At 34.3% G+C, this 14,336-nt stretch overlaps 1 protein-coding gene across 3 annotated transcripts in view; it reads right to left on the reverse strand.

The window, feature by feature from the left end:
* LRP1B (LDL receptor related protein 1B) overlaps positions 1-14,336 on the reverse strand; it is a 1,899,594-nt gene that overhangs the window by 54,078 nt on the left and 1,831,180 nt on the right. For all 3 annotated transcript variants that reach the window (NM_018557.3, XM_017004341.2, XM_017004342.1), the window contains one exon: positions 12,308-12,469. In NM_018557.3, coding sequence (NP_061027.2) covers positions 12,308-12,469 — 162 coding nt within the window. The remainder of the gene's footprint in view (positions 1-12,307; positions 12,470-14,336) is intronic.

Below are 14,336 nucleotides of genomic sequence, written 5' to 3' on the forward strand. Positions count from 1 at the left end.
CACCTTGAAAAGGTCACCTGGCAGAATAATATATACAAACTAGCAAGGATCCCCTGGTTAACTGTGCCATTTCTTTAGGTCAGATATGTATAAACAAACAATTTATTGATATGTAATAATCAGGTTCCCTCTGTACTAAGACTTTCATAATAATTCAAAGGTTTCAGAAAATCACTTTAATTACATTGTTAATAGCATTTAACCTTTAACAAGATTAGAAATATGCATTCAATCACTGTAATTAATCAATAAAATACTAATCCCAGATACTTTTATTTAGAAAGACTATTTTTAAAAATCATCCTCATAAATTGTTCTGCCCTTAAGGAGAAGGGATTCAGTCATTACTCTTTCATTGTGTATAGTGTACATGAAGATAGTGCAGTGAGAAACTATATGATATAGTAAGTAATGTGTTTTTGCTTTTGAAGCCTCTGACCTTTCTCTTTATTCAGGAAGTGGTTAGATTCTTAATTATACTTCTTTACTTTTCATAATCTCTAGTCTCACTACCTGACATATAACATGTTTGCATATTCTTTATAAATAAAACAGTACAATAAGAGCAGTTTTCTGTTTTATTCATAATAAAATCCCAAGCCTCAGTGGCTGGCACACAGTAGATGCTCTACTAATATTTGTTGAATTAATAAATGAGCGCTTCCCCTTGGAAAGCAGGGCACTATGGAAGGCAGAGAACAAGAGTAATACTGCTGATTGTTTAGCTTTAAAACCCCTAAGCAAGTTATAAATTTTTATAAATATTGGATCATCCAAGGCTGGTTCGTCCTATTCTGAAACTAACCGAAGTTTGCCAGCATGGGTTTGTGTTCAGATGGAGGAGTAAAAGAGGGAGACTGGAAAGGAAAATCACTTGGGAAGCAAAGACAGATGCCATCAAGTGCCAATGAGAGAGCCCTTGGACATCCAGTGCCAACATAAAACAGACACTCAGATGCTGGATCAGTGAACCAACTATTGGCCACTCTAGACATGCCATATGAATAAAAATGTGACTTGCCAAATTCCCAGAAATATGGCATGCCACAGAATTAGACTAAACTTTTCAGCTTCCAGTGGTCATAATCTAATCTGTGCATGGAAGTAAGCCCAGTCATAAAACTATTTTCGTCAGTGTTCTGATCTACTTACTTTCAATGACTCAATGCAAAAGTTCATTCTAAATTCATGTATCATTTTAGAAATTATGAAGTGAAGCATCTGATGCTATAAAATTAATGTTTATTTTCATTATCTAAATTATATACCTAAATATATATAACCTTATGTATATATATTATCATCATAAGCACTCAAAGTATCTATTAAAATGAAAATTATAAAAATAAATATCTGCATTAATTTTACAATTTACAGAAGACTTTTCTTATAGATTATCGCACTTTAAACTTACAATTTTAGGAAATATTAACTTTTTTTTACAGATAGTGTAACTGTCACCTGTGATGATGAAAATAATAGTTTGAGAAACCAAAGTTATAGAATACTGTTTGTTAGTTCATATATATTTACTTCAGATAGTTTTACACGATTAAAAAAGAATATTTTAATTCTGCATCTTCACCTCTAAAACCTAGCATTTCTTCAACAAATCTAGATTCTCATTTGACATATTCTAGGAGTGTGAACTCAGACTATACATCCAACAAAATTCAAAAATCCACTGAAATTGTTTTAAAACATTTTATTTATTTATTTAGGTTTAGATAGGGGATCTGATCAAAAAGGTCAGAACCTAAAAAAATCAGAATCCTACACTACTTTCTAATGTAAGGAGCAATGAAATCTGGAGTTGAAAAATACTAGCTTAATTCTAGTTCTTCATGGTCTAGAGGTACCACAGAAATGACCTTAATTCTTGTCCTGAGATGTTAATCGAGAAATCAGTTAAATCAGGTGCCATTCATTATGTCGTCCTATCCATCTGAATTTATTTGTTTCTGCCAATAAGTTGATTCATTTCTGTCAGTTGATTTTCAAGGAAAGGTTGCTCTGAGATCATCATTATAAATCTTCCAAGTTCTCAAAACTAATAAAATACAAATTGTTTTGTCAAACTGAAATTTAGATCATATTATTACCATGGGTTTAGACATGGATCTTCAAGGGATATTGCAAGTAAAAAAAAAAAAAAAAAAAATCCAAATGTAGTCACTTGACCTTTGAACTAATCTAGCACTATTACAGACTAAGTGGCTTCCTATTCCCATGGTGCTCTGTACTTAAGGTGTATCTGATTCTGTGAAGCAACCCCTGCTACACTGGTTTTTCTCTTAATAGGTTATTTTCATATTATGGAGGATCTATATTGTGAAAAATTATTGTCTGTCTCTGGCATGACGTTACATTTTAATTTAACTTTGCTTTTATTTGTTGGAACTTTCACTTTATTTGGAAAATGTAGTGGATTAAAAAATGTCTACATTTATTTAATCAGATTTATGATGTATTTTTGCATCTATAAAAATGAAATTAAATGCACTATTTCATATATTGTTTTCTATTTCTGCTATTATATATTCTTTATTTGATGATAGGCTATACGACCATAGAGTAAATTATAAATCTTTCCTCCTTTCTCTCATCTTTATACCCTTGGACTCAGAACATATACATTTAAAATTTGGGGATTTTTTTTTTTCCTTGACAGCTGACAATGACATACTGACTCATAGTCTCTTTTGCCATTCTTATCTATAATAAGGATAAATACCAAATGTTTCTAGCAGTATAGCTACAAAAGAGGTTATATCTTTTATATAAAACAGACTCATAATACCAGTTTGTAGTGATTAAATCTTTAATAGTTAAACATAAAGGTTATCATATTATCTATAAGAAAGGAATTTAATTTCTTCTCTTTAAAGCATTTAAAGATTTCTGACTCAGCATTTTTTCAAAGCATGTTTAGTAGTAGACATTCCAAATTTGATATAAATAACCACGTTTAAAAGTTACTCTTAAATTTACATTTGAACTTTTAAAAGTGATGTTAGCAGACGCATTTAACTAGCAACAATTTGATTTGAGGCAAGCCTCAAATAAATATTTTTGTTTAGTCTGCATGTCTCTACATAATTTATGTGCTACATTGTTTTAAGTACTCAATTTTGTTTTCAGGTAATTATTTGTGAATCCATGCAGTTTACTTAACACCAAGTATAGCAGAATCACAGTCATGGCTTCTATTCATGAAAAGCCATGCATTGTTTTTTTTTCAGGGACAGATTTCCCAACAGATATTTAAATACAAATCCATTAAAAGGTTACTGTTAGCTGTGAGACATATCATTTTTCAACCTACAACTAAGTGACTTTGAGATGCCTTTCATTGTCTTTACACTGCTTTGTATATGTACTCTTCCTTACATTGTAAAAAGAAGGGTCAAAACATGTCTATAATGCTAACATGGCATAAAAGTAGAAGATTAAACCACCTTGGCCTGAGTAAAGGTGAAGCATTGTGAGATTAGAGTTGTCTCAATATCAGGTGAAGCTGGCATGGAAAAAAGTTCCTGCTATGATGCCAACAAGAGTAATTAAGCATTCTTAAAATTTTTTTATTCAGTAGTGCTCACCAAAATTACTAAATATAATTACTAATATTTCAAGGGCAAGTTCCGTGGTGTACAGATAAAAGTTTATCAATAGTTTAATTTTATAAACATGCTGCTGAAATTTCAAACAATTATGTGAAAAATAATGGTATGCTTCTAAGTAGTATGAAATAAAGTCCATTTCTGATCTTTTATCATTTTTGACTATACAATTCGAAGTCCGCTTTATCTAACTTTTACTCTAAAAAGATACATCAGTTGTTTTTCTATTCATCAAAGTTATACAAGCCAAGTGTCTTCAAAAAACTTTTATACTGATAAATCCCCAATGCCTAGAGCAATGAATGATATTTAATGTTGTTTAATACATATCAGTTGAATGAGTTAATTCTAATAATCAGCATTTGTAGTTTCAAATCACATATGAATTAATATCTGCTTGGAAAAACATACATTGGTTTCTAATAAATTTCCTTTTATGTATAAGCACGTACGCCTAAAATTATTTTCCTCTTATTATTTTTACTTTTTTTTTTAATGAAGGCATAACATTAAAACAAAAATCTGTTTGAAAAGTCTAGTTTTACTATTGGGTCAAAATGGTCTTCAACAAATTTTTACAACCCTGACAATTTTTTTGAAATAATCTACGGTAAAAGAATAACTAAAATAATTAATTATTTTACCCTTACCTCAACATTCTCTATCATTATCACACTAGAAAATATATGTATCTATTCCCTTCACATTGATTAAAATCTAATTTTATTTTTACACTTTTTTCCTTTAATCTTTGAAACTGGAATGTAAGCACCCAGTTTCTCATGGACCATCAAGGATCTTCATGAGTTTTTAAGAAAATATGGCCCAGAACTCTGATCCTGCCTTTGGAGAGGGATCTTGCTAGAGCACAGAAAAATAACTGGGCCTACCAGTCTGTAAACAGGATCTTTCTACTTTGCTCACATGCATCCAAACTCCTAAATTCCAGGCACTGAATTCACTTGCAAGATTGATGAGGTATGCAAAACACTGTGGCCTGTTTAATATTCTAGTGGGGTAGATATTCATGAATGATATGAATATAAAGTGAAAAATGGCAAAGAGAAGTGCTGAGATTCTAGGAAAAAGGAGAGTTAAGAAGACAAAGTAGGGGGATTAAAGAGGTTTAGCAGACATTGAGGGCGTAATGTGTCACGTAAAAGAGGTATTAACAATTATAGCAGATGCACTTTGGAGGCAATAAACAGGTTTTCAAGGTTAGAAGAAAAGGTACATAAAGTAATGTGCTGCATTAATCCAGACAAGGGATGATAAGAACCTGAATGAAGACAACACTTACTTTCTCATTAAGAGGAAAAGAGTTGGGAGAAAGTAGACAGGGCTCCAAAATGCTGTGCTAGTCTAAGTGTGAATGTTGTAAAGAATCTTAAATATTCAAATACTGAGGAAGGGGTTGGTTCTTATGGGTACTTTCACTTTCCAAATCACAATTCTTAAAGCTTTAGGCTCTGTTCGAATAATTGACCTTCCTATTAACAGGAACAACTGAAAAGATTGTTCTCTTTTCCTGATCATTTTAAAAGTACTTTGGTCGCTTTTAGCTGGGCCTGCCATAAGCTTAACAGCTCAAGATTAAAGTTCCTATTAGTGCCTCTTTTCTATGGTGTAGAAGCTTGAAAGACCAGGTTGAGCCAGTATGCCATTTGAGCTTTGAGTGTTCTAGTGAGTCTCTAAAAGTCGCAGCATGGTGGGCAGGATATTGAATGGCAGAAAAATATATTAGACCAGGAGAAGCCCAGTTTTCAGAGTCAGATCCACAAAGCTAAAAGCTGTGGTTCCTATGCTCTCTAAATTGCAGATTAGGGAAAACTGCTTAATCTCATGTTGTTGGCACTTGCAAATTTGGACTAATAGTATTAATCTCAAAGGGTTGTGTGAACATTTGTTGAAAGGATACATATTCACATATTAGATAAAATAATGTGTCATAGCAACGTCTCCGGGATGAAAATATTACACATGTTTACTGAGTGTGATTTATCTTGCCAGCCCTCCTGCTAATAGAAACAGGAAAAATAAATTTCCAAAGGCTTTCCCTTTGCATATGCTGTTCCCTCTTTGCATATGCTGTTCCCCCTTGCTGCTTACTCTTCTCATCTCTTGGCTTCTTGATTTCTTCTTATCTCAGCTTAGATACCACTTCAAGAAATTTTATTTTATATATATATATATATATATTTTTATTATACTTTAAGTTCTAGGGTATATGTGCACAACGTGCAGGTTTGTTACATATGTATACATGTGTCGTGTTGGTGTGCTGCACCCATTAACTCGTCATTTACATTAGGTATATCTCCTAATGCTATCCCTCCTCACTCCCCCCACCCCACAACAGGCCCCGGTGTGTGATGTTCCCCTTCCTGTGTCCATGTGTTCTCATTGTTCAGTTCCCACCCATGACTGAGAACATGCAGCGTTTGGTTTCTTGTCCTTGCGATAGTTTGCTGAGAATGATGGTTTCCAGCTTCTTCCATGTCCGTACAAAGGACATGAACTCATCCTTTCTATGGCTGCATAGTATTCCATGGTGTATATGTGCCACATTTTCTTAATCCAGTCTATCATTGTTGGTCATTTGGGTTGGTTCCAAGTGTTTGCTATTGTGAATAGTGCCACAATAAACATATGTGTGCATGTTTCTTAATAGCAGCATGATTTATAGTCCTTTGGGTATATACCCAGTAATGGGATGGCTGGGTCAAATGGTATTTCTAGTTCTAGATCACTGAGGAATCACCACACTGTCTTCCACAATGGTTGAACTAGTTTACAGTCCCACCAACAGTGTAAAAGTGTTCCTATTTCTCCACATCCTCTCCAGCACCTGTTGTTTCCTGACTTTTTAATGATCACCCTTCTAAGTGGTGTGAGATGGTATCTCACTGTGGTTTTGATTTGCATTTCTCTGATGGCCAGTGATGATGAGCATTTTTTCATGTGTCAGTTAGCTGCATAAATGTCGGAGAAGCCTAGTTTTCAGAGTCAGATCCACAAAGCTAAAAACTGTGGTTCCTGTGCTCTCTAAATTGCAGATTAGGGAAAACTGTTTAATCTCATGTTGTTGGCACTTGCAAATTTGGACTAATAGTATTAATCTCAAAGGGTTGTGTGAGCATTTGTTGAAAGGATACATATTCACATATTAGATAAAATAACGTGTCATAGCAACATCTCTGGTATTAAAACATTACACATGTTTACTGAGTGTGATTTCTCTTGCCAGCTCTCCTGTAGAAAAATCTAATAGAAACAGGAAAAATAAATTTCTGAAGGCTTTCCCTTTGCATATGCTGTTCCCTCTTTGCATATGCTGCTCCCCCTTGCTACTTCCGCTTTGCATATGCTGTTCCTTTGTGTATGCTGTTCCCCTTTGCTGCTTCCCTTTCTCATCTCCTTAGCTTCTTGATTTCTTGTGATTTCAGCTTAGACACCACTTCCTTCAAGAAATTTTCTAAAGGCTAAACTCTGTGGTCTTTCTGAAGGTTCTAGTAGCCTCTGTGTTTCATTAAATTGACCTATAATAACTCGTTTCCTTTTTAGAATCAGACATTACACTGTGAGTTTATTGAGAATAGAAAATGTTTCTGACCTCACTATTTCCTTTCTTAATGCCGAACATAGTGACAGGCTCATTGTAAACATCAAAACATATTCACTGATGAACTGACTCATGGGATAAAGCTACCCTAGAAGACAAATGGTAAAAATAATCCCATCGTGTCATCAAATACGATAGGCTTATATCTATAGTGCATAATTGTTTTATACGTTACTTGATAGTCTGTGGTTCTAATACCGATTGCAAAACATGATATCTTTGGATTACTGTCAGGTACTTCTAACTCTGTAAGTAGGGACATTACTTAATGTCTGTACTTACTGGAACCAGGGAGAATAAGCTGTACAGGTATACTTCTGATAAGTCTAGTTCTAATTGAAATTATAATGGTTCTGCAAGCAGATTACCAGAGGACTTTGAAAGTATCAGTGAGAGAACAAGCAGGTTTTCACTTAATTTGACTACCTATTCCTTAGACACAGATCCAACTGGTCTTAATTGGCCTGGTTGGCCTAATGTTATTATCATTTAATCACAAATAACTTCAGATATTGGTTAACCTCATGCTTAACACCTAGATTTAAATCCAAAATGTCATGCTCACTTGTTTATTTTTATTTATACTAGTAATTCTTGTTCTAGAATAGTGAGAAGTGCCGCTATATTTGTTCTTTAACAACTTACTTAAAGAATACTTGATTTTACTTTTACCATTATTTATCTTTGCCTCTCCTCCCTGGGCTGCTGCTGTTAAAATTAATTTGCATTTCAGACCTCAGGACTTTATATTGCTATTAGAGTTATGAAATGTTTTTACTCAGCACAACTAAGAGCTGATGTTTTCCCTCCCACTAATGGACCTTTAATTAGGCACTGTAATGAACCATTCTGTCATTCCTTCTTTTATAGAGAGAAGATTTTGTATATGCAAGATACAATTTTGACAGAACACCAGGTCCACTGAACCTTGTCGGCTTACATCTAATAGATTCTAAATTTATTATGTTTTTGTCAGCTGTTGAATTTGTCATTTTAATGCCACTGTCCACAGACTTATTATGCTGCCAAAAAAACAGCATCACCATACAGCAAGAATGTTTGTTGACATCTTGATCAACAACTCCTGGGGTCCAATTCTGACTATAATATTACTACTTCGGGACCTTGAGCAAGTTATTTAACCTCTGTCTAAGGATTAATTGGTTAATTTTAATAAGTGCTTTGCAGTAAAAGGTGGGAAGCGCTCTGACTACTAATAGTGATAATAAAATTATAATGCAGCTCTTTATAAAGCATCAGGCTACCTCAGACTGTGATTCTATTAAGTTGTCAATTAAAACATAAGCTAACTGAATTTATTCTTTGGAAGGATCCAAACTGCTATACAAACTATGGCCACATAATATTTTTAAACTTAGTTTAAAAAATTAATTAAGAATACTGTTGTTTCAACTAATGAAAAGATAAAAACAAGAGGGGAAAATGACATGTTCTATGTTGGTCTACCAATTGGGAACCAAAAGACAGAGGAGAAAATACTAGCTCTAGTTGAACCACATACAGTTACAAGATCATTGAACACTGATTAAATGTAATTTTACATTTAAAGTAAATTGATCTTAAATTGATCTTTTGTTAACATTTATTCAAATCATTTATTTTTATTTATGTATTTATTTGTGTGATTCTTTGTTCCTTTGTTCATTTGGCAAGTGCCATTGTTGGTTGTAGTCTCAAAAAGATCCCAGACAAGTAAGGGGAATGTACATAATCAACAGGTAAAAATGATCAGAGTCAGAAGAGGAGGGAGAGGTTGATTCAAACTGAGAATTTGAACAATTTCAAAAAGCAAATGGTGTTTAAGCTGAGCAGAGTCACAATGTCAGGGAAGCTGGCTCTATATAGGGAAGGGCAATTGGTGTGGTTTTACTAGAATAAAGGAGAGGCTGCAGACCTAGGATGGATAGTAATAGGGGTCTCCATTAAGTGGGATAGTAGTGTTGTCCTTCATTTGCATGGAATCATTTGGGGTCATGACAATGGTGGAACAGAAAATAAACACACGTGAGTTAGTGGGTGGAAGTTGTGTTGAGATAGTCTGCTGTGTTGTGAGGAGGGGAATGAGAGTGGTGAAGATGTGAGCAATACATGAGAAAGGATAATTAGTGTTATTTATTTATGCATTTATTTATTGAGATGAGTCTTGGTCTGTCGCCAGGCTGGAGTGCAGTGGCGTGATCTCGGCTCACTGCAAGCTCCACCTCCTGGGTTCACGCCATCATCCTGCCTCAGCCTCCCTAGTAGCTGGGACTACAGGTGCCCGCCACTGCGCCCGGCTAGTTTTTTGTATTTTTAGTAGAGACGGCGTTTCACCGTCTCTAGACCAGGATGGTCTCGACCTCCTGACCTCGTGATCCGCGGGCCTCAGCCTCTCAAAGTGCTGGGATTACAGGTGTGAGCCACTGCGCCTGGCTAATTAGTGTTATACAATAATATAGGGATGTATGGATGTAACCAGGTTGTATTTTCATATAAACTTCTGGCCTGTGATGCACATCATTTAAGAAATAAGTTAGGCAATGTGAAAAGGAACATTGGCCTAGGGTAGGGGCATCTACATATGTCAAGGAAAGGCTAGCCTAATATGATAAGAATAAACAATTGGAAAATAAACTACTTTAAATGTTTTCTTGCTTCTGCAGAAGAAGTCCCTCTGTACCATCAGAGGCAAGATACTAAGTGTTATGCTTGATTCTCAGATAAGCCGATGATTATAGCTTGACTCTGTGCTGTTTCATGTAGTTCCTAAAATGACCAAAGACCTAGGCTACTTTGTGTGAAAATTCAATGATATTTAATGTAACTTGGGGATGCGACCTGAGCCCTGAAGCTAAATTGGCTGGTTTGAATCTTGGCTCTCGCAAATGCTAAATAGGTAATATTCAGAAGCCTATTTATTTTTTCCTGGTGTCCTCTTCTGTAATGAGACTAAAAACAATATCTAGTTTATTGATAGGATTAAACGAATTAATAAAACTAATGCAAAAAAGGAATTACAAGTGTCCTTGGGTGTAGAAAAATCTCAATAAATGTGACTGTGATAGCAATTTTATTGTGAATAAAATGAACTATGACTGACCTTTTGAGAATAGATACTTTGGGGCAAAGAGAGGGAGCATGGAGATCCATTAGTAATAATCCAGGCAAGAGATACTGGTAGAATGGAGTGGTGAGAAGTATTCAGATGTTGAGTATATTTAAAGGTAAAATTGAGAGTGAAAACAGGAAGTGAAAAAAAGGGGTGGTCAAAAAAATTCAATTATTTTGGTCTGGACAGTGAGTATATTTTCTTTTAAAGAGATAGAAAAGACTATAGTACAGATTGAGCATCTCTAATTGGGAAGTCTGAAATGTGAAATATTCCAATATCCAACAGTTTTGAGTGCCAACATGATGCCACGAGTGGAAAATTTCACACCTGACCTCCCGTAATGAGGGCAGAAGATTAGTAAAAAATACACATAAAATTACCTTCAGGCTTTGTGTATAAAGTGTATATGAAACAAGAATTTTGTATTTAGACTTCTGTTCAATCCCCAAGATACCTCATTATACAGATGGACATATTCTAAAATTCGAAAAAATCTGAAATCCAAAATACTTCTGGTCTCAAGTATTTCAGATAAGGGATATCCAACTTGTTGAAAAATCTTGGGGTAAAAACAAATCAGTTTAAATTAGAGTGATAACAAGCTGTCAAATAGACAATTAGGTATAAAAACCTGGAATTCAGAAAATAGGTTAAGCAGGATATGTAAATTTACAGTCATTAGTATTTGGATGATGTTTAAAAAAACACGCAATTGGGTGAATTTGCCGAGGCAGTAGGTCTCAATTTTGGTTGCATGTGTGAAACATCTGAAAAATTTAAATATAGATACCCCAACACAGGCTAGAGGAATGAAAATCTTTGTAGACGATGTTTTAAGAAGGATGAAATGATTAACTGCTGAAAGTAGATGTAAAATAAGAATTGAGATTTGATCATTATATATGGCAACATGGAGGACATTAAATAAAATCAATTAACTTGACTTTCATAAAAGATATTTTAGCAGAACAGCAAAGACAAAAACCTGACAGAGGTGGGATCAAAGAAAAAATATAAATAGAAGAATTGTGGACAACAACTATATTTTCAAGTAATGCTTCTGTTAAAAAAGAGGAGAGAGTAGTAAAATAAGGTTATTACAAAAAAGAGATGTGGGCACAAGTGAAGGTTTTTTCCAGAAAGAACTTGGCAGACAGGAAAATAGTCATAAAGCAGGAGAAAAAGGGGACAGTTGTGGGAGATGTGTTCATAAGTAGCCAAGAGGGAGGGGTCAGGACTTGAGATGGAGAGCATAGGATTAGATGTAGCCTGGGGTTCCTAGTAACAAGAAGAAAGACAAGTACATGGGCATAGGAGAAAGAAGCTGGGGGGATGTGCTAGTTAGTGTGAGTTTGCGGCAGCTCTCTTTAGATGGTTTCTATTCATATAAATGAAATATAAAGCAAGTTTCTCAGCTGAGGGTAAAGTTAGGGAGAAAGCATTGGAGGTTTCATGAGAAGGAGAAGGTGTGACATAGACATCTAGGGGAGTGGGAGAGTCAATGGATTAGGGAACTACATAGAAAGCCTTAGTAAGTGCCCATTTGAAATTAGTGATAGAACTGAAATGAGGCCAGCCAATATAATTATGAGTTTTTCTTCAGTTGCATTCGCCTATGGGATGTCAATTCAGGAGAGATGGAGAATTGGATTTAACTATGGTTATGATTTGCTAAGAAGTGCAAAAGAGGGGAAGAGAGAGGAAGGGAGCTGAGGGTGTACACAGGGAATGGTTATAATAATGGACCATGCAATCAAAGCTGAGGGAGGAAGAAAGATAAAATCTTTACAATAAGAGAAAGGTGAAGAATGGGTAAATAATTGTTGGAGTGACAGAGACTGAACCTGAAAAATAGAGGATGGCTAAAATTAAGATAATGGAAGGAGTGGATACAGGAAATCAGAAGATTAACATAAACATCAAAGCTGGCTTCTGGGTGCTGCTTTTACTTACAGTACTGACATCTGTCTCCGGTGTATTCCGGCTGGCAGTGGCAGTAAGGCTGGTTTCCAGCAGTCACAATGCAGGTTCCTCCATTTTGACAAAAATCCTCACAGACTGTCTTACCACAGTTTGGCCCAGTGAAACCCAGTGCACAGCTGCAGGTGGGTCTCCCTATTGGAAACAATAAGTAATAAAAAGCAAATTATTCAACCAAAATAGTTTATTTTCAAGGAATTTTCATGGGATAAAAGTTGAGAAGCCAGGTTTCTGGTCAAGGTCTGTCCATGATTTACTCTGTGACTTTAGGCAGTAACAAGACTTCTTTGGGTCTCAGTTTTTCATATGTTCAAGGAAATCTAGGTTAGAAGATATCCAAGTTTCAATTCAGTAAAATAATCAAAGATCATTTTATGAATAATTAATTATACTTGCATGCATATATTGTTTGCTTAAAGTACTTCTTATTTTTACTTCTGTTCTCATATCAATTTGGCCCTTTCAATTATTTTTATTCTACTCATGTGATAATACAGATTATATTTTCATTAGAACCTAAAATACAATTTCACATTGTTCAAACATCATCTACCAACCACTGCTGAATCTACATAAAACATTAGATTACACATGTTATAAATAAATCTTGTAATAAGTTTAAAGTAGACATGTAATTTATAATAATTAAATTTAGTAACATTACTCTATTTGACTTAAATACACATACTGTGGTTAGTACATAAGTGCTAAATCTAATTTTGTCTAATTTTGATATTGTTATTCACAAGAGTGGACTGTACTTGAAGTCTAGTAAATAACAGGATGACTTAGAAGTTTAACATGAACAGCACATAAGACCAAATATGACAGATCATCTTTGACTATTTTTCTTTATTTACTCTGTGGGGACTAACATCAGGATGAAAGGTCAACAATCCTGTATGGTGTTTTGAACATAACACAGTTAACTCTTGTATATTAGGAATAAGTTTCTCTAACTGCTCAGACTGTCAAGGCCTGAGTACAAAATGAAATATGGAACTAGCTCTGTAGGAGAAGAGAAGGAGAAAGAAAACAAAATGAATGGATATCATTTAAATGGTAAAATAATAAATTTCAAAGTTTGCAAAAATGTAAAGAAACAACATGAAAGAGTATGAGAGAGACTTAGTTATAGATTTCAGTTAAGACTCAGACAATATCACTCAGTTGACTAGCAGTAGAGAATATTCAAGCCATCTTTCTCTTGTCTTTGTAGACCTAGAGAATATTCATGCCATTTCTCTGTCATCTTTGTAGACACAGAAGTGTAATTAAACTGATTAGAGAAATGCATGAGTGTAAATCTTACTAAGACTTAAGTGTGAAAATGATATAATTTTCTCTATCACTATAGATTCTACATTGAAGAAGTCTAAATCTTTTGAGAAACATTCCTCAGTGAATACAATGCTTACAAATAAAATTCATATACATTTTTAAGAAAATGAGTGAATTGAGGGTCCATAACTTATTAACTTTACTTTGAAAGGACTCTACATGCTCAAAAATGCTAGAGACTGATGCTCTAAATGAACAAAGTAATATACATTTTTATGGTGAGTAATATTTCTCTAAAACTTAGCATTTATGAATGTTATTAGTTTGGTGGCAGATAAATGCCTATTAATGGCCTGAGAAACAAGGTAAATTTTATATACGTTAAACGCTGAGTAATCTCATATTTTTTTGTTGCCAAAAAATGTTCACTAACTTTTAGTAGATATTTTCCTTAAAATGGCAATGCAATTTTCTAGTTGTTGTTGATATAGAAACACAGTATCTTCACTGGCACCTTAGTAGGTGAAAAACAAAGCTACAGGACAACAAAACAAATAATGGTAGTAAATGAAGAGGTTAATAATTGTTGGAACGTGATTAATGAAAAAAACAAGAGCCCAAAACAACAGAAGTAATTCTTCAATTACAGTCAATGGATACCTTACAGAGATATAGAACAAGTAAATAGCAATAAAAATTACCATGAGCAAAACAATGAAAT

The sequence above is a fragment of the Homo sapiens genome, chromosome 2 (genome assembly GCF_000001405.40).
Source record: "Homo sapiens chromosome 2, GRCh38.p14 Primary Assembly".
NCBI lineage: Eukaryota > Metazoa > Chordata > Mammalia > Primates > Hominidae > Homo > Homo sapiens.